Below are 20,008 nucleotides of genomic sequence, written 5' to 3' on the forward strand. Positions count from 1 at the left end.
TATTTGGCTTTATTTCTGGATTCTTTATTCTGTTCCACTGGTCTATGTGCCTATTTTTGTACCAGTGCCGTGCTGTTTTGGTGACTATGGCCTTATAGTTTGAAATCAGGTAGTGTGATGCCTCCAGATTTGTTCTTTTTACTTAGTCTTGCTTTGGCTATACAAGCTCCTTTTTGGTTCCATATGAATTTTAGAATTGTGTTTTTCTAATTCTGTGAAGAATGATGGTGTTATTTTGATAAGGATTGCATTGAATTGTTAGATTGCTTTTGACAGTATGGCCACTTTCACAATATTGATTCTATCCACATGAGCATAGGATGTGTTTCCATTTGTTCATGTCATCTATGATTTCTTTCAGCAGTGTTTTATAATTTTCCTTGTAGAGGTCTTTGGATCCTTGGTTAAGTATATTTCTAAGTATTTTATTTTATTTTTATTTTTGCAGCTATTGTAAAAGTGGTTGAGTCCTTGATGTGATTCTCCACTTGGTCACTGTTGGTGTATAGAAGAGCTACTTATTTGTGTACATTAATGTTGTATCCAGAAACTTTGCTGAATTCCTTTATCAGTTCTAGGAGCTTTCTGGAGAAGTCCTTAGGGTTTTCAAGGTAAATGATCATATCGTCAGCAAACAGTGACAGTTTGACTTCCTCTTTACCGATTTGGATGCCCCTTATTTCTTTCTCGTGTCTGATTTCTCTGGCTAGGACTTCCAGTACTATGTTGAAGAGGAGTGGTGAGAGTGGGCATCCTTGACATTTTCCAGTTCTCAGAGGGAATGCTTTCAACTTTTCCCCATTCAGTATTATGTTGGCTGTGAGTTTGTCACAGACGGCTTTTATTACATTAAGGTATGTCCCTTGTGTGCTGATTTTGCTTAGGGTTTTGGTCATAAAGGGATCCTGGATTTTGTTGAATACTTTTTTTGCATCTATTGAGATGATCATGTGATTTTTGTTTTTAATTCTGTTTATGTTGTGTATCACATTTATTGACTTCTGCATGTTAAACCATCCCTGCATCCCTGGTATGAAACCCATTTGATCATGGTGGATTATCTTTTTGATACGTTGTTGGATTGGGTTAGCTACTATTTTGTGAAGGATTTTAGTGTCTGTATTCATCAAGGATATCAGTCTGTAGTTTTCTTTTTTGGTTGTGTCCTTTCCTAGTTTTGGTATTAGGGTGATGCTGGCTTCATAAAATGAATTAGGGGAGGTTCCTTCTTTATCTTGTGGAATAGTGTCAAAAGGATTGGTGCCAATTCTTTGAATGCCTGGTAGAATTCTGCTGTGAATCCATGTGGTCCTGGACTTTTTTTTGTTGGTGATTTTTATATTACCATTTCAATCTTGCTGCTTGTTATTGGTCTGTTCAGGGTTTCTAATTCTTTCTGATTTAAGCTAGGAGGGCTGTATTTTTCCAGGAATCTACCCATCTTTTCTAGGTTTTCCAGTTTATGTGCATAAAGGTGTTCATAGTAGCCTTGAATGATCTTTTGTATTTCAGTGGTGTCAGTTGTAATATCTCCTGTTTCATTTCTGAGTGAGGTTATTTGGATCTTCTCTTCATTTCTTGGTTATTCTTGCCAATGGTCTATCAATTTTATTTATCTTTCAAAGAACTAGCTTTTTGTTTCATTTATCTTTTGTATTTTTTGTTTGTTTGTTTCAATTTCATTTAGTTCTACTCTGATCTTGGTTATTTCCTTTCTTCTGCTGGGTTTGGGTTTGGTTTGTTCTTGTTTCTTAGTTCCTTGAGGTATGACCTCAGAGTGTCTGTTTGCACTCTTTTGATCTTTTTGATGTAGGTATTTAGGGCTATGAAATTTCCCCTTACCATTGCCTTTGCTGGATCCCAGAGGTTTTGATAGATTGTGTCATTATTGTCCTTCATTTCAAATAATTTTTAAATTTCCATCTTGATTTCATTTTTGACCCAATGCTCATTCAGGGGCAGGTAATTTAATTTCCATGTATTTGCATTGTTTCAAAGGTTCCTTTTGGAGTCGATGTTCAGTTTTATTCCACTGTGGTCCAAGAGAGTGCTTGATATAATTTCAATTTTCTTAAATTTACTGGGGCTCATTTTATGGTCTATCATATAGTCTGTCTTGGAGAAAGTTCCATGCACTGTTGAATAGAATGCATATTCTCCGATTGTTGGATGAAATGTTCTGTATATATCTTTTAAGTCCATTTGTTCCTAGGTATAGTTTAAATCCATTGTTTCTTTGTTGACTTTCTGTCTTGATGACCTGTCTAGTGCTGTCAGTGGAGTATTGAAGTCCCCTACTATTATTATGTTGCTGTGTGTTTCATTTCTTAGGTCTATTAGTAATTGTTTTATAAATTTGGAAGCTCCAGTGTTAGGTGCATATATGTTTAAGATTGTGATATTTTCCTGTTGGACAAGGCCTTTTACCATTATATAATGTCCCTCATTGTTTCTTTTAATTGCTGTTGCTTTAAAGTTTGTTTTGTCTGATATAAGAATAGCTACCCCTGCTCACTTTTGCTTTCCATTTGCAAGAAATGCCTTTTTTCCACGTCTTTACTTTAAGTTTATGTGAGTCGTTATGTGTAAGTTGAGTCTCCTGAAGGCAGCAGATAGTTGGTTGGTGAGTTCTTATCCATTCTGCAGTTCTGTATCTTTTAAGTGGAGCATTACTTACATTCAATGTTAGTATTGAAATGTGAGGTACTGTTGCATTTATCATGTTTTTGTTGCCTGAGTACTTTGTGTGTTTTGTTTTTGCTTTTTAACTTGTATTTTTGTTTTATAGGTCCTGTGTAATTTATGCTTTAAAGAAGTTCTGTTTTGTTGTGTTTCCAGGATTTGTTTCAAGATTTAGAGCTCCTTTTAGCAGTTCTTGCAGTGGTGGCTTGGTAATGGCAAATTCTCTCAGCATTTGTTTGTCTGAAAAAGACTGTATCTTTCCTTCCTATATGATGCTTAGCTTCACTCGACACAAAATTATTGGCTGTTAAGTGTTTTGTTTGAGGAGGCTGAAGATAGGACCCCAGACCCTTCTAGCTTTGTAGAGTTTCTGCTAAGAAATCTGCTGTTAATCTGATAGGTTGTCCTTTATAGGTTACCTGATGCTTCTGCCTCACAGCTCTTAAGATTCTTTCCTTCGTCTTAACTTTGGATAACCTGATGACTTGCGATGAATTTCCTGAGTGTTCTTTGTGCTTCTTGTGTTTGGATTTCTGGGTCTCTAGCAAGGCCAGGAAAGTTTTCCTTGATTATTCCCCCAAATATATTTTCCAAGCTTTTAGAATTCTCTTCTTCCTCAGAACACTGATTATTCATTCTTAGTTTTGGTCATTTAACATAATTCCAGACTTCTTGGAGGCTTTGTTCATATTTTTCTTTTTTCTTTGTCTTTGTTGGATTGGGTTAATTTGAACACCTTTTCTTTGAGTTCTGAGTTTCTTTCTTCTACTTGGTTCAATTCTATTGTTGAGACTTTCCTGAGCATTTCACATTTCTAAAAATGTGTCCAAAGTTTCCTGAATTTTTCATTGTTTTTTTTTCTTTAAGCTATCTATTTCCTTGAACATTTCTCCCCTCACTTCTTGTATCTTTTTTTTTTTTTTTTTTTTTTTTTTTTTTTTTGGATTTCCTTGCATTGGGCTTCGCCTTTCTCTGGTCCCTCCCTGATTAGCTTAATAACTAACCTCCTGAATTCTTTTTCAGGTAAATCAGGAATTTATTCTTGGTTTGGATCCATTGCTGGTGAACTAGTGTGATTTTTTGGGGGTGTTGAAGAGCCTTGTTTTGTCATATTACCAGGGTTGGTTTTCTGGTTTCTTCTCATTTGGGTAGGCTCTGTCAGAGGCAAGGTCTAGGGTGGAAGGCTATTGTTCAGATTCTTTTGTCTCATGGGGTGTTCCCTTGATGTAGTACTCTCCCCCTTTTCCTATGGATGTGGCTTCCTACAAGCCGAACTGCAGTGATTGTTATCTCTCTTCTGGGTCTAGGCACCCAGCGAGTCTACCCAGCTCCGGGCTGGTACTGGGGGTTGTCTGCACAAGAGTGCTGTGATGTGAACTGTCTATGGGTCTCTCAGTCATGGACACTAGCGCCTTTTCTGGTGGAGGTTGGGGGGCGGGTGTGCAATGGACTCCGTGAGGGTCCTTAGCACACTAGATCAGTGGAGTTATGTACCTATGAGGATTATGGATGCCTCTGCTGAGTCATGCAGGTTGTCAGGTAAGTGGCGGTAAGCTGGCAGTCACAGGCTTCACCCAGCTCCCATGCAAACCGAAGGGCTGGTCTCACTCCCACTGTGTCCTCTGCCAACAGCCCCAGTCTGTTTCCAGGTGGAGGGCTATATGGCTTGAAAACCGGCCCCAGGCTATCTACCTCCCAGCTGCGAAAGAAAAGGGCTTCGTTCCTTCTCAGCCTGTGAGTCTGCACACCAGATTTGCCCTGCCCTGAGTTCTGGCCACGAGGCTTCTCACCCCATTCAAATTGTTACAAAATTCAGCTAGAGATTTCTTTCTCCCTGTGGAGTTTTAGCCCCTGCTCCTCTGTCTACTCTCCCGATGGATCCCTGTGGTGCCAGCCAGGAATGGGCTGCTGGGGGACCCCGTGAGCTCCCAGGGCCTTACTGCTGCTTCCTCTACCCCTGTATTTCACTTGGCTAACTTGACTCAGCTCCAGGTAAAGTCAAAAACTTCTTCCACAAACAGACTTTCAGCTTCTTCAGTGAGGGTATGTGTTCAGGAGAAGAGGGCCTCCCTTTCTTACTTCCACAGTTGGGGCACTCACAGTTTTAGGGGGCTCTCCTGGGTCCTGCAGGAGTAGTCCGCTTCCTTCAGAGGGTCTGTGGGTCCTCTCGGGATTGCTGGTTTGTTCTTGTAGTCGATCTGGAGCTAAAATTCATAATGCGAGCTCCCACACGCTGCTCTGTCCGGAGCGGCAATCTAGTCCTGCCTCCCATCTGCCCTGATGATTGCTATCTCCAGTCCTTCGTTCATGAGCACTTGGGTTGATTCCATGTCTTTGCTATTGTGAATTGTGTACCAGTGAATATACGAGTGCATGTCTTTTTGGTAGAACAATTTGTTTTCCTTTGGGTAGATTCCCAGTAATGGGATTGCTGGGTCAAATAGTAGTTGTTTTTTAAGTTCTTTGAGAAATCTCCAAACTGCTTTCTAAAGTAAGCCCTCTCTTTAAATAGCTAGGTTTGTGCTTGCTATTTAGTTTACATATTAAACCCCCTTCATATTTATTTACACGTAAATAGCTGAAATATTTCATTTAGAGAATAGAGTGAATAGGAGATGAGGAAGCAGAGACTACAAGTGGAGACAATTTGTGTACGTCTAAAATTGGTAATACGTTGGTTTTAAATGTTTTTTTTTTCCTATGAAAATAAATGTTGGCGGGCGCAGTGGCTCATGCCTGTAATCTCAGCACTTGGGGAGGCCGAGGTGGGCAGATTGCCTGATGTCGGGAGTTCGAGACCAGCCTGGCCAACATGGCGAAACCCTGTCTCTACTAAAAATACAAAAATTAGCCAGGTGTGGTGACAGGTGCCTGTAATCTCAGCTACTCAGGAAGCTAAGGAAGAGAGAATCACTTGAACCCGAGAGGCGGAGCTTGCAGTGAGACAAGATTGCGCCATTGCACTCCAGCCTCGGCAACAGAGCGTCTCAAAAAAAAAAAAAAAAAAAAAAGAGAGAGAGAGAGAGAAAATAAATGTTATGCATATATTCCTGAAACCGACTTATCCCATTCAACAACATATTCTTATATTTCAGTGTTAAGAAATACAAATCTATATCACAACTTTAATGACTACATAGAATTCTATATTCGAGGACATTTCATGATTTATACAAATTGATTCTAAAAATTTTAAGTAATAAATAATGCTATGTTAAACATTTTTGTACAGTCATATTTAAACAAGTATGTGATTCTATTTTTTTCAAGCATATAATCAAACCTGGAATAGCTGAATCATTGGGTATGACATAGTTTAGGCTTTTGGTACAAATTGACATTTATTTATAAAAGGACAGTTTTCATAAGAAGAAAAAAATACAAAACAAGATGTTCAGTACTTCACATATTTTAGCATTTAACAGCTTGAAGCAACACATCTCCTTGCTGTTCTTCTAAATGTTAAGATCACATTTCAAACACACTGATCTAATTAGCCTTGGCCATCACTCTGTTGTAAGTGGCTACCCACATAATTATTAGATTATTAATAAAAGCAAGCACAAATAAGAAAAAGAGAAAGGGAATAGTCTTCAAGGTTAACTGAATATTTGAAATGTCAATGTAATGTCAAAATTTGCTGCATGGTTTGGACATAGTCCATTAAAAGTATCTTTCTCCCTGTACTATTGAAATCTCTATTACCCTGGCATCCAGTACTTTTATTTTTTTAAATTTATTTTTATTATTTATTTTTGGGATGGCGTCTGACTCTCTCGCCCAGGCTGGAGAGCAGTGGCATGATCTTGGATCACTGCAACCTCTGCCTCCTGGGTTCAAGTGATTCTCCTGCCTCAGCCTCCCAAGTAGCTGAGACTACAGGTATGCGCCACCATGCCTGGCTAATTTTGTGTATTTAGTAGAGATGGGGTTTCACCATGTTGGCCAGGCTGCTCTTGAACTCCTGACGTCAGGTGATCCACCCACCTTGACCTTCCCAACTCCTGGAATTACAGGCATGAGCCACTGCGCCTGGCCCCAGTTACTTTCAAAACCTTATTCAAGTACATGATGCAAATGAATCCAGCTTCTAGGGTGGTTCATAAATTGTAATTTCAAGGTTTAGTTCAATAAGTGAAGCATAATGACTTATTCCATTTTTCCAAAGTAAATGGTACCAACCAGAACTATGCTTGGGAGGAAGAACAGGGAAGGGATATCAGGAAATCCTGAACTTCCTTCCACCTCTTCCAAATTAACTCATGTGTCTCCTGTTTTATAAATGCCTTTGGGAGGAGATACTACCATCATCCTGCAATAAAGATGAAGCTTGAATTCACTATATATCAGCATGTGCATATTTAAGATCAGTGTTTCCTGAAGTTGTGACAGTGAGAAGAGAGAGTCGGCTGAGTGCTACAAGTATCACAGGGTTGACGAGGATGGCAGCCCCACCTGGAAGGGCTTTATAAGCGCTGAGATTCTGGAGGCAGTCTCTTGAGAATTCATAACTCTCTAGGTAACTGCATTAGTCATCAATGTAATCAGCCTTTTTCTTTCTTCTGAGTCAGGAAAGGGGTGCTGATGAGGCAAGATTCCGAACATTTGTGGATTCCTGGCCGTATACTACTGCTGTAAGACCTCCTTTTAACTGAATTTGGCCATATGCCTTTGGGCACCAGAAATTCATATCTTAATACATGTCGTTGTTGGAGTCAATACATGTTTAAACTGATATACTATATCAGTTATATTTATATCAATTCTCCCTTATTGATCCTAGAATAATTTAAAAGAAAATGAAAAGACTAGACATAATTATGGCCACACAAGACAGTAGCTACACAATTAAGTAATAAATGTTTTACAAACTTAAGTAATATATGGACCCCTCTTTCAAAGGAAAACAATTTTCTCATGGGCCACTTAATGTTTACTTAAAATATTTTAATTGTAATGTTAAAATGTATAAATATAAACTTGGTATGCATGCCTTATGCTTATACAGCTTACAAACAAAAATATACTTACAAATTAAATATAAACAAGGCTACAGAGCCAAATAAGCTTAAAGTTAACAACATTTATTTAATGTGAGACACTTGATGTTGTTTTGCTAATATTAAGGCCCTCCTTGCTGTGTGTATACAGCATGACATGGATTCTTTAGAATTTAGTGATCCATCTCATCATCTTGACTGCCCATTGGGAAAGACGCTCAATCTCTACCCATGTGGATTTTCTTGGAATTCCTGTAAGCTCCAAGGGTAAGTTAGGGTGTGCCTGGGTGTGCCTAATTAGGTACTGTTGCCCCAAAATCTGTACTCAGATTTGTACTAAATAAGCACAATTACCCAGGGTCAGGAAAAGATTTATTGCATTTTTTAAGTTTTAAAAGTAAAAATGAGATCATAGGCACTGCCCATGGCCTCTTTGTGCCCTTCTTTTATTTTTCCACATTTCTGGAAATTCTTTTTAAGTGCCTTCTAGAATTCTGTACCAGTCAGCAAAAATATTTATACCAAAGTTTGAGACAGGCAATTTTCTTTCAGTTGGAAGTAGTTGTTTCCACCTTGCTTGTATGGGGAGGGGTCTCTAATATGCACCCAATCATAATAGTCCCTGGGCTTTGTCTCCTGTTCTGCTTGCCTACCAAGGCCATGAAAACCTAAATTCTCCTTTACCTAGTTTGACAAATGCCCTCAGCTGAAATCCAGTTTTAGTCCTCAGCTTGCTTTCTGAATGATGGTCATGCCATGCTTCTGGAAATGGAAATTCCAAATCTTACCTTTGTAATTACATGCTGTACCCCCATCCCCAACGCCTGATGCAAGCATTTCAGTGATGCTGTTCTTTCTCCTCCAAGGCCAGGTGGGTTTCTAGTTGCACAGTAACAGTAATATGGAAGAGTAGACCTACCCAGTGAAAATTCACAAAGACAACCTGGCTTCTGCTTTCCAAACACAAAAGCATCATAGAAATACAAATGATAAAAATGTTAGAAACCCAAACATAGACTGTCACATGGCTGGGCATAGGGACATAAAAGACCAATTGTATGATTGTAACATAGACACTTCTTAGTTTTTTTTTTTTTTTTTAAGTTCAGAGGCACATGTGCAGTTTGTTACATAGGTAATTTTGTCATGGGGGTTTGTTGTACAGATTATTTGATCATCCAGATATTAAGCCTAGTTCTCGTTAGTTGTTTTTCCTGATCCTCTCCCTCCTCCCACCCTTCACTAGGCCCTGGTTTGTGTTGCTCCTCTCTCTCTCTCTCTGTGTCCATGTGTTCTCATCACTTAGCTCCTACTTATAAGTGAGTACGTGCGGTTGTCTGTTCCTGTGTTAGTTTGCTAAGGATAATGGCCTTCAGCTGCATCCATGTCCCTGCAAATGACATGATGTCATTCTTTTTTTATAGCTGCATGGTGTCTCTCGGCTTTTTTTTTTTTTTTTCTTGAAATGGAGTTTCACTCTTTTTGCCCAGGCTGGAGTGCAATGGTGTGATCTCGGCTCACTGCAACCTTTGCCTCCTGGGTTCAAGTGATTCTCCTGCCTCAGCCTCCCGAGTAGCTGGAATTACAGGCGACCACCACCATGCCCAGCTAATTTTGTATTTTTAGTAGGGACAGGGTTTCACCATGTTGGCCAGGCTGGTCTTGAACTCCTGACATCAGGTGATCCGCCCGCCTTGGCCTCCCAAAGTGCTGGGATTACAGGCATAAGCCACCGCGCCCGGCCTTCTCTCAGCTTTTTAAGAGAGCATTAAACTAAATGGGGCTCCTCTGACAATTTGTGACTACCAATTAGCTCTCACGTTTCCATAGACTGTTAGGACACCTTGTCCTCACTCTTTAAAAAAGGCAGACCTGGCTCTAGCTCCCCTGAGTAAGCCACCTCCCTGGTCCCCAGAAATTACAAAGTAAGAGGGCTGAGTATGATGTAGTATAGTGGGCCAGGTGATCTGGGGAGAAGGAGGCAGGGGTATGGAAATGAAGGAGAAAGGTGTGGCGAGGGTGAATGGTAGGAGAAGGGAAAGGTGAGGACAAGAGGAGGGGGCTCGTTTTTGTAGGACACTCCCAGGTGGACCTGGACATCATTACCTAGAGCAGTGTTCCTTAAATGTGCCCAGATAGGAAGCATAATTACAAAAGTAAGAACTTGCATTTTCAGAGAGCTTTCCCCCGGAAATTCTGATTCAGCAAGTCTAGAGCAAGGGCTATGGTATCTAAATGTTTCTGTTTAACGAGTGATACCATGCTAAGTAAAATACAACTTGTTTAAAATAAGGGAGTTCCTGAATTATGTCTGGCATACAATCCAATCCAGATTTCATGGAATATTGGAATGCCTGGAGATATAACAATCTTAGAACAAAACATTTGTAAAGCAGTGTAGAAAAAAACAATAAACAAAAATCCAAAATATCTTAATTTTGTCCATTTTGAGAGCATTAAGCCTACCCTCAGTAGTTGTCCAAGTTTCTAAGAGTTAGGGTGAAGACAGGACATGACTGATGCGCAGTACTGTGCAACCAAAGCTTTAGAAAGGGAACTGGGTAAAGAGGCGTGTCGCCTTATGCCACCTTGTGGCAGAATTGGGTAGTTAATGAAGACCGGCTGGAGGTCGAATGACTTGGGTCCTTCAACAAATACTCATTAAGTCATCATTTGAAAAAAAAAATCACTTAAAATCTGAGTCTGTTTTCTCCTTTTAAAAAAGATTACTATTTGCTTAAATTATGTTTTTGATACAAGCAATGAGACTTTAAAAGTGAAATAAAATATTAAGTATTCTTTTTATCATTGCTAATGCTGTTTTCCCATTTATAAGTGAGGGAAAAACTTATTTTTCCAGGGATATTCCTTTTTCTCTTGATTAAGATGGTGAACAGAAGGTGGCTGGTCAGAAATGAATGGGGAATGCATTCAATGAGAGAGATCTCTGCCATCCTCCTCTTCATCTATTCTATTTTCCCAATTCGCTAGAGTGAGACAGGCTACTTTGAAGATGTCAGATGGCTGACTGAGGTGCTCAGAAAAGACAGATCTCACCAGTAGCTGCAGAATATGGTTACCTACTATGATGGTTAATTTTATGTGTCAATTTCGCTGGGCCACTGTGCCCAAATAGTTGGTGAAACATTATTCTGGATGATTCTGTGAAGGTGTTTTTGTTTGTTTGTTTGTTTGTTTGTTTTTTTGGATGAGATTAATATTTAAATTGGTAGACTAAAGCAGATTACCCTCCAAAATGTAGGTAGGCCTCATCCAATCAGTTGAGAGCCTTAATAGAACAAAGACTAACCTCCCCTGAGCAAGAATGAATTCTGCCAGCAGACTGCCTTTAGACTTAAACTGCAAATCTTTCCTGGGGCTCCAGGTTGCAAACCTGCCTTGTAGATTTTGGTTTATCCAGCCACCACAATCCTGTGAACCAATTCCTTATAATGTCCCTCTCTCTCTTTCTCAAATCTCTTTCTACACACACACACACACACACACACACACACACACACACACACACAGAGTTGATTTTATTTTCTGGAGAGCTGTGACACCTGTGAAGGTGTTAGATAACTGGAACTTTTGAGAAAGACATATATCCCAGTTGCTAGAGAATATGGTTACCTACATGGTGAGAATTGAAAGGTACTAGAAAAGTCTGCTCTCTTTGTAGAATCTTCTCTAACACTCAAGTGTGGGTTGAAGTTAGGGGTGACCTAACTCAGTTGATTGGCTCCATTTCCCTGAGATTCTCTTGGTTCTGCTCACCCCTATGTGGTCGCTCCATTCTCAAGAATGATCTCAGGAAGCCTCCAACAGTTTCAGCCTCACACAGAAAATCTGGAAGATAAAAATCTGCTTCAATTCTAGTATTCAAAGAAATTCACCCTGATTAAAGTGTCAATTGCTGACTAGGACTTTGGCTTGGGAAATGGAACTTAGTATTTAAGACAATCCTTGGAGATTGGGGTGAAATCAGTTTTCCCTAAGACTTAATGGAATCAAAGTGCTATATGGATACATGAAAAAAATCCTGGTTCTGCTAAGGTGAGGGAAGGGGAATAGCTGTTGGGTAGATCACCAATAATGTCCACCAGACACTTACGTAGTACCAGCAATTGATTTATCACAATGTAACACACAAGTGATGATACTCAAATTAAACTATACTAGTGCTAAGGAACCAGTAAAGATTAGTGGGGATTATGGTAAACAAGAATAACATGATCTATTAATAAAAGAGAGCCACGCCAAGCGTGGTGGCTCATTGCCAGTAGCTGTGGCTCAGGCCTGTAATCTCAGCACTTTGGGAGGCTGAGGTGGATGGATCGTCCGAGGTCAGGAGTTTGAGACCGGCCTAGCCAACATGGCGAAACCCCATCTCTACTAAAAATACAAAAATTAGCCAGGTGTGGTGGCGTGTGCCTGTGATCCCACCCACTTGGGAGGCTGAGGCATGGGAATTGCTTGAACCTGTGAGGTGGAGTTTGCAGTGAGCCGAGATTGTGCCACTGCACTCCAGCCTGGGTGACAGAGTAAGACTCTGTCTCGAAAAAAAGAAAAAAAAAAAAAAAGAAGAAGCCACTACTTTGCTCTAAGCAATGTGACCATGCAAAAATATAACCCTTCTGTTGCAAGATCATCAACATTTTTTAGAGAAACTGATAATTTGGATTTTTATGTAAAATAGCCATATTTTAAATGTTGGCAACTAAGTTCATTTTTGTTCTTGTTTTTAACCACGCAGGACAGCCAATACTGTCTAAAATAAACAAAGCATAACTGTTGGCTAAATGCAGTCTGTGAACCTCTAGTTTTCTGGGCTAGAAAAACCATTACTTGCCATTCAGTAGTTCTATGAATGAAAGGCTTGCTAAGAGTAGAGGAACCAAAGAAGATGAGAGAATGAGTGTCATTGTCTCATACAATGCTTTTCGGCAGGTGTGTCCCCACTCACATGTTCTCAGGCTCCCACTTCACGGAATGAAATGTGAAGTCCACTTGGGGCCAGTTAATTCTTTCCAAGATAGTCAAGGTGTTCCACTGCCAGGCACCAGGAACACTTGTTTCCCTGGTGTTGACCATCTTACTTCATTTACAGGTAAGCCCTAGCAGGTACAGGGACAAAAGTCTTCACACTAACAGAAATCCAGTGTAGATTAGCTTCTTTTTTTCCCAAGATGCCTAAATTCTATTTTTTAAAAAAGATATAGCGATCATTCTTCCATTTCTAGACCCTTAGCTGACGTCATTAGGTAGTTTATCATAGTTCTGCGAGACATACAGCTTTTCATTAATAGGTTAGATTAATTACCGTCCTATCATTAAAACGCATTTAGTTTAACTGAATGGAAAATAGCAGTTTGTCATAAACTTAAAAAAAAAAATCAATGCTTAATTAGCTTAAAATAGACTAGTACTGAGATCAGAGACTGATTGGCGTTTATCTTTTCCCTGGACAATTTCTTGTTCCCAAAAAAGCACAAGGGCAGTAGTTGTCACTCCTGCTTACGCATTAGAATCTAGTGGATGGAAATGCGGGGTTTGGGGGGAGGAGATGAGGGGAACGCTTTTTTAAAAAAGCTTTTGTCCAGGCCAAGTGATTCTAATGTGTAGACAGGGCAGAATACCGCTCCCTGTGCGGGGGAAAAAATCCCCAACATCTGAAATTCCTCAAATCCCTCAGATTCTCTCCAGAACTCTTCATTTCAGCACGTAGGGGTACCAACGAACAATTTTCTGAGGTGTCTGAGGCTAGTCATGTCCCCGGAGATTGACGGGACCGTCAGCCAATCGGCCGTCTGAACGAGTGATGGCAACCCCAATGACAAGCAACAGAATGAGGAACTTTATCCCCGCAGAAAGACCAGATCGCAGTAGCAAAGGTCAACAAGTCAACAAAAGCCAAGGGCTCTCCGTCAGGCATCAGCGAGGCCCGAGTACTCTTAGAGGTCGTAGCCAGGAGAGGGTCCCGCGCTTGCCCAGCGTTGCTAGGGAGGCGGCGCTTGCTCAAGCTTCTCGTGCCCTCTCCGTACGTCACTTCCGCCCGGCGGGGTCTCATAGTCCTATGGGCTGGGTTGAAGCCACTTCCTTTTTTCTTTCCCTTTTTCCTCTCCGTGGCCCCGCCTCCCGGAAGTTCTGCCTTGTCTCCGCCGCGGGTCAGGGGTGAGAGCTGGAATCTCTGCACGGGCCTTGGTGAGTAACTGCTGCGAGTTCTGTTCCCGCGCGGCGCCAGTTCAAAGAACTTAGGTTAGATCACGCTTAGGGCCCAACAGGACTGTGCCAGGCCTCAGGAGTCTCCACCCTCTCCAGTTTTGGGGCCGTCAGTCTCCTGGGCCTGCAATTATCCACGCTGAGGCTGAGGTCTTTGGCTTTTAGCGAGTTGGATTGCAGCCTTGTTCTGCTTCTGTGTCTTCTCTCTCCAGGCGAGGTCCTACTGAGGTTGTTGCCAGCGATAGTCCTCTCCTGGAGCTTGAATTGGAAGCAGAGTAGTCTTGTTAGTCTCGGTGATGGCTGCGTTGTTTCCTGAAGTAGCCAAAGTGCTTTAGCATCCATTCCGCCTCCTTTGAGCACCCTGGGAGGTAGGCAGGGCAGACGAAAAATATATTCGTTAATATTGTGCAGTTGAGGAAACTGAAGCTCTTGGCGAATTCACTGTTTCAAAGCAACACGGCCTCTAACAGGCAGAACTGAAATTCGCACCCAGGTCTAACTAACGTAGGGTTGCATAAAACAGTGGAGAGAGCGTTTGGAAATAGGGAAAACACTGCAAACGTTAAAGAAGAGCTGGGGTTTCTGAGTGCTTACTTTGTGTTCGGCTTTGTGCCAAATTCTTTCTATAATTATATCATCCATTTTATTTTATAATAAGCATAGGAAGTATATACTGTGGTTATTTATTCCTGGGTTAGGAAACTGAGGCTTAGAGATGATAACTGACTTGTCTAGTACTAATGACTTTAGTAGGCATTTCACAGATCTCTTTCAGCTCTGTGATTCTTTCAACACTGTAGTATTAACTTCTGGCATAATCAAACTGCCCTTTTCTGATTTTGGCATTACAGGAAGAGAGATTCCAGAACTTTATTTTTGGTCTCTTCACCCTTTGCCCATTGTCTCATTTCTTATCACCATTCTTATCACCATCCTATTTAGAAATTTATAGTCATGTAAATTTAGCCTTGACTTTCTTTTTTTTTTTTTTTTGAGACGGAGTCCCGCTCTGTTGCCCAGGCTGGAGTGCTGTGGTGCGATCTCGGCTCACTGCAAGCTCCGCCTCCCGGGTTCAAGTGATTCTCCTGCCTTAGCCTCCCGAGTAGCTGGGACTACCGGCGCCCGCCACCACGCCTGGCTAATTTTTTGTATTTTTAGTAGAGACGGGGTTTCACCGTGTTAGGCAGGATGGTCTCGATCTTCTGACCTCTTGATCCGCCCGCCTCGGCCTCCCAAAGTGCTGGGATTACAGACATGAGCCACCGCGCCCGGCCCGCCTTGACTTTTACTCTACAATTTAATTTTTTTTTTTTTTCCTCAAAGAGAAATATGGAGATGGTTGTGGAATTAATGGATCCAGGTTAAAGGGTTGGCCAGAAAAGTTGCTAGTTTTTACTCTATTGTTTTACTCTATTGTTGCTTTGCTTACATATATTATGTCAGTTTCTGCCTTTTTTTCTATCAGGAAAACGACTGTCTTCTTCTGCCAAAATGTCAGGAATTGGAAATAAAAGAGCAGCTGGAGAACCTGGCACCTCCATGCCTCCTGAGAAGAAGGCAGCTGTTGAAGATTCAGGGACCACAGTGGAAACAATTAAGCTAGGAGGTGTCTCTTCAACGGTATGAGGAAACAGTGCCATGAAAGTGTGCTTGTCTTCTGTCAGTTGCAACTTGAAACTAAAAATTCATGGAAGCTTTCTGGAGTATGGGGAAGCTATTTGAAAAGAAGAGGGAAATAAAACAGGCTGAAAGTAGGTAAAATGATGTGGTAGTCAGTTCTAGAGGAGAGGTAGATTGATAGTTGTTCTTTGTTTTCAAGGTGTACTTATATTCTTTCGAGAATCTGGGAAGGTGGTGCCTGATACAACATTAACTATAGGTATTTAGCAGTGGGAAGATACACATTTATTTTTCATTCACTGAAAAAGTCAGTACCAGATTCTAAGAGACAGTTTAGCAATCATTGAGAGTATGGTGAAGAGTGAGAGTCTGAGACCAGATTGCCTGGAGTTGACTCTGAGCTGTACCACTTCCTAGCTGGCTGACCTTGTGTTATCCTTCCTTTGCCTGTTTTCTTGTCTGTAAAATGTAATTAGAGTACCTGCTACATTAGATTTTTATGCATATAAAATAAGAGTCCCTGTTAAGGGCTAACACTTTGCATTTAATATAGTAAATAGTCAATAAATGGGAGGCATTCATAGCTAATATTGGGCTAGATAATATAATGGTGCATAACATAGATATTATCCTTGCTCTTATGGAGCTGACAAAATGAGTATTATATACCAAAATCTCATAGTAATGTTATATATCTGTTAGACATCAGAAGTTTACAGGTTTTGATCTACGTCAAGATTTTGCTTTTTTGAAAATCAGACATGGGGATGTGATATTAAAATGTTTTACATTTTGTAAAATGCTTTACATTTGTATGGCTTGCAAAACCACATCTATTGCTTATTTGATTTTGAGGCTGAGGTTTATTTTAGAGAGGCTGATTTTTTTTTTTGAGTCAGAATAATAGGAACATTCATAGTGAGTTGTTGATGAAGTGTCATTTCTGAGGCTGCCTGAGGTTCTGGTACTTAATATTGCTGGCAGGAAGTGATTTTTGTTTTAGCACTGCCTTGCATCATGCATTCCAAAGGCATTTATTCACTCAATATATAAATATTTGTTGAGTATTTGTTATTTGCCAGACACTATCCTTTACACTGAAGACAGCCCCTAGACTTTAGTTTGTAGGGTAGCACTGACAAGGGAATAGACTGTTTAGAGTGGGGTATGTGCTGTTGACAGGGATAAGCACATACTTATGGGAAGCACATAGCACACACCCCAGTGTGGACTTTATCCAGAGGCAATGAGGAGTTAGTGGATAGTCTTAAGTAGGAGACTAACATGCTCTGACTTGTGTTTGGAGACTATAGAAAAGCAAGGATTATAAACAAGAGTCCAGCTAGCAGACTTTTTTCTTTTCTTCTTCTTACTCTCTTTCGCTATAACTGCATCTCTCCAAAGGTGGGGATCTGAGGCATGTATCCACTGATCCCCGCTCCAATTGGTTGAAGGTTGCCATTGAAAGCAGTCCCTCCTGTGCATTTTGAGATTGCTGTTAGGAGCCAGCTGTGATTGCGGGACAGAAAAACTGAGTCTCCAAAGTGTGCTTGAAGTGGGAACAATGGCAGTGTAAATGGAGCTGTCCACCACAGCTGTGCTGAAATCTGGCAGGCTGACAGGACTTAGCACAGAGTTTTTGCTATAGGAGGCCTTTGCAGTAATCTTAATGAGAAATCATGGTGGCTTGGACCACTGTGGAGGTAGCATTGATAAGATCTGCTGATGGATTGGATAACTCACATGAAAGATAGGAGGGAGGATCATCCCAGGATTTTGAAAGTAATGGAATTTTTACTTACTGAGCTAGAGAAGTGTATGAGAGGAGCAGATTTTTGGGAGTCATGGAGGATGAATTGAGTTTGGTTTGGTTTGGGACATATAAGTTTGAGATACTTATTTGACCTCTGAATGGATAGGTAGTTAATAAGCTGGATACTAGAGAGAGGTCTGGGCTAAAGCTGTATATTTGGGAATCGTCATTTTGTAAGTTGTGTTTACATCTATGAGACTACAGACTCCTTTAATGAATAAGCATAAAGAGGTCTGCTGGGGCACTACAATATTTTCATGTCAAGGAATGAGAAAGGACTAATCAAAGATACAAACAAAGAGGGACCAATGAGGTAAGAGGATAGGAAGAGAGAATGGGTTCCCAGAAGCTCAATGAAGAAAGTATTTCAAGAAGGAGCTGATTAGGTGCTGCTGATGTGTTCTCATTCAGGTTTCAGTTGGAACAAGGGGAATAAAGGGAGGACTGAGGTGTTATATTTAATAATAGTTCACTGGAGATACCAAAACACCTTTGTTGGTGAAATAGTGGGGATGGCACCCTGTTTTCAGTGAGCTTAAGAGAATATGAGGGGAGAGGAATTAGGAAAAAGAGAGTAGAGACAATGCTTTATAAAGGAGTATCGCTGTAAAGTAGATGACTATATAATGACTGATCATGGAATTTAAGTTCAGTAAAGAAGGAGGTGAGAGAAGTGAAAGGTATAGGACCAATGGATTGTAGATCCTGGAGAGGTTAAAGAATTTTTGGAGTAAGGAAACTGGAGAGAGTGAGCTGGAAAAATAGTGGTAGTTGTGAAGAATGAGGTGTTTGAAATTGAGCTTATAGAGGACATGTAGGTACAAGTAAGACTAAATGTGGGAGTTGGTGGCTGAAGGAGGTAGAAGACAAGATCATTGGTGAAGAGGAGGTCAGTGACTTGATGATTCAAGTATAGGAAAGGTTATCTGTATGGGTATTGAAATCATTAAGAATGATGACAGGAAAAGTATTGGAGAGTGATAATAAGGTAGGTGCTAAGTCTTTGTGAAATGTGAGGAAACGACGTGGGCATTTACAGATGAATTCAACAGAGCATGGCGGCAGGTGGTATAGGCTAATGGCATGAGCTGCAGAGGTAGGAGGTTTTAGGGAGGAAGGTGGGGTAATGGCCTGGAAGTGGCAATGGAAAATAAGGAGGATATTCATCCCTCTCTGGCTTCAAGGGGTGTGGAAGAGAAACAGCCACCACTAGAGAAGCCTGCAGGGAAACAGTTTCTCATCCAAGTTTCAGTTAGAGCAAGAAGGGAAAGGCAATGTTCAGAGAAGAGTTTGAGGATATAGTTTATTAATAGTGTTAATAAACTGGTACAGTGGGAAAACTGTTGACTACTTTGGCATATTAGGAATGTTTTAATTAAAGTGGAAAAGAGAAAAATGAAACAAAAATTGGTGGTGTAATAAACAATTGTCACTTTAAAATAATGATTTCATTAATTCCTCAGAAAAGTAAGACTATTTTTCCACATGCTGGTTCTTTGCTTGTTATATCCTCCAATCCCACCTCCCACCAACCCCTCCCTGGTTTGTCCTAGGGAAGGAGCTGGAGAGAGAAAAATATTGAGAGGGATGTGAAATTACTAATGGAGTGAGGGTTTTGTAGAGACAGAAGAGAACAGGATCCTGAGCACAAGCTGAGGTTTTAAGAATGTGTGCATAATTGTGTTAATGGGTCAAAGAGATGGGGAATTGTTTTCCATCTGATGGCTTCTATTTTCTCATTAAAATAGGAAGTAAAGCCATCTGTTTTGTATGATGTAAAAGGGGGCAGGGTTTGGTAGAGGTTGATGTTGCCTTGCTGGAGAATGGGAAATAGCTCACTTGATAAAGAAATATTTCTAGACAAATTATAAAATCTGTTTAGGCTAAGAATTCATTTTGTAAAGGCACCGGTTTCGGTGGTTTGATGAACTTCTCTAGAAGTCTCAGCATACTGGGTACAGGAATGGAATAGCCAGATAACTGGATTAATTCAGATTGGGGTTTGTTGACAGAGATAGAATAAAAGGATTAAGGGCAGAGAACCAAGGAGGCTGTTAGGCAGGTGTTTGAAGGAATGTACTATATAGCATATGATTAAGATATGGAAGGTAGCAGAGATAGAAGGAGACCGAAAAGGAGAAAGAAAAGAATTCAACATTCTGGAGATCTTGATGAGGTAAAGGGATTGGTATATTGGGTTAAGGGCATGAGATACCTGGAAAGACGTGGTGTTTTTCAGGGAATGGGAAGTTGGAATATAAGATTTCAGATGTGGTACAGTTCCAGATAATGACAAAAGTCTGAGATGTGTCTTTTGAAGTGCATGGCTGAAGCACAGTGGAGGAGATAATGTTTGGAGTGAAGGAACTGGAAAAACTGACAGCCTAGATGCTAGAGGATTAGATGGTTTGTCCACATGTATGGTGAAGTCACCAGATATATTGGCAGGAACTGGGATAGACAGGGACCCAGGTGCTGAAGTCTTTAATGAAGGAAGGATGGTGCTTACGAGATAGAAGACAGTGTTGATTGGAGTCGAGGGTGATCTAGCTGGATGGTGGCCTTAAAGCAGCATTACTTTGTAGATGTTTATGTGACTAGAACAGCGAGATGGGTTGAGGTTCTGGTGTATTTGTGTGTATTATTCTTTCCTCACACCATCATATACCTG

General features: G+C 40.6%; 2 protein-coding genes across 4 annotated transcripts in view, besides 2 other annotated features; one reads left to right on the forward strand and one right to left on the reverse strand.

Annotated features, from left to right (window-relative positions):
* Positions 1–13,658, reverse strand: part of PGAP4 (post-GPI attachment to proteins GalNAc transferase 4) — a 60,517-nt gene extending 46,859 nt beyond the window's left edge. The window contains exons 1-2 of the mRNA XM_024447701.2: positions 12,649–13,658; positions 11,460–11,531 (exon numbers count right to left, since the gene is read on the reverse strand). The gene's annotated coding sequence lies outside the window, so the exon portion shown is untranslated. The remainder of the gene's footprint in view (positions 1–11,459; positions 11,532–12,648) is intronic.
* Positions 4,337–4,836: an enhancer, noted in NCBI's record as "H3K4me1 hESC enhancer chr9:104286647-104287146 (GRCh37/hg19 assembly coordinates)". NCBI's record gives its function as "activates a minimal SCP1, AML or CMV promoter by ChIP-STARR-seq in naive H9 embryonic stem cells {active_cell/tissue: H9 hESC(naive)}" and the evidence as "EXISTENCE:reporter gene assay evidence [ECO:0000049][PMID:30033119]".
* Positions 13,567–13,696: an enhancer, noted in NCBI's record as "active region_28726". NCBI's record gives its function as "activates an Ori minimal core promoter by ATAC-STARR-seq in GM12878 lymphoblastoid cells {active_cell/tissue: GM12878}" and the evidence as "EXISTENCE:reporter gene assay evidence [ECO:0000049][PMID:35858748]".
* Positions 13,825–20,008, forward strand: part of RNF20 (ring finger protein 20) — a 29,492-nt gene continuing 23,308 nt past the window's right edge. The window contains exons 1-3 of one of the 3 annotated variants that reach the window (XM_047423594.1): positions 13,825–13,940; positions 14,117–14,272; positions 15,370–15,524. In XM_047423594.1, the coding sequence (XP_047279550.1) occupies positions 15,396–15,524 (129 nt within the window). In that variant the 5' untranslated portion in view covers positions 13,825–13,940; positions 14,117–14,272; positions 15,370–15,395. Of the gene's footprint in view, positions 14,273–15,369; positions 15,525–20,008 lie in introns of all 3 variants that reach the window. The other 2 variants (XM_011518862.2, NM_019592.7) reach the window with 2 other exon arrangements.

This window comes from Homo sapiens, chromosome 9 (assembly GCF_000001405.40).
Source record: "Homo sapiens chromosome 9, GRCh38.p14 Primary Assembly".
Taxonomy (NCBI): Eukaryota; Metazoa; Chordata; class Mammalia; order Primates; family Hominidae; genus Homo; species Homo sapiens.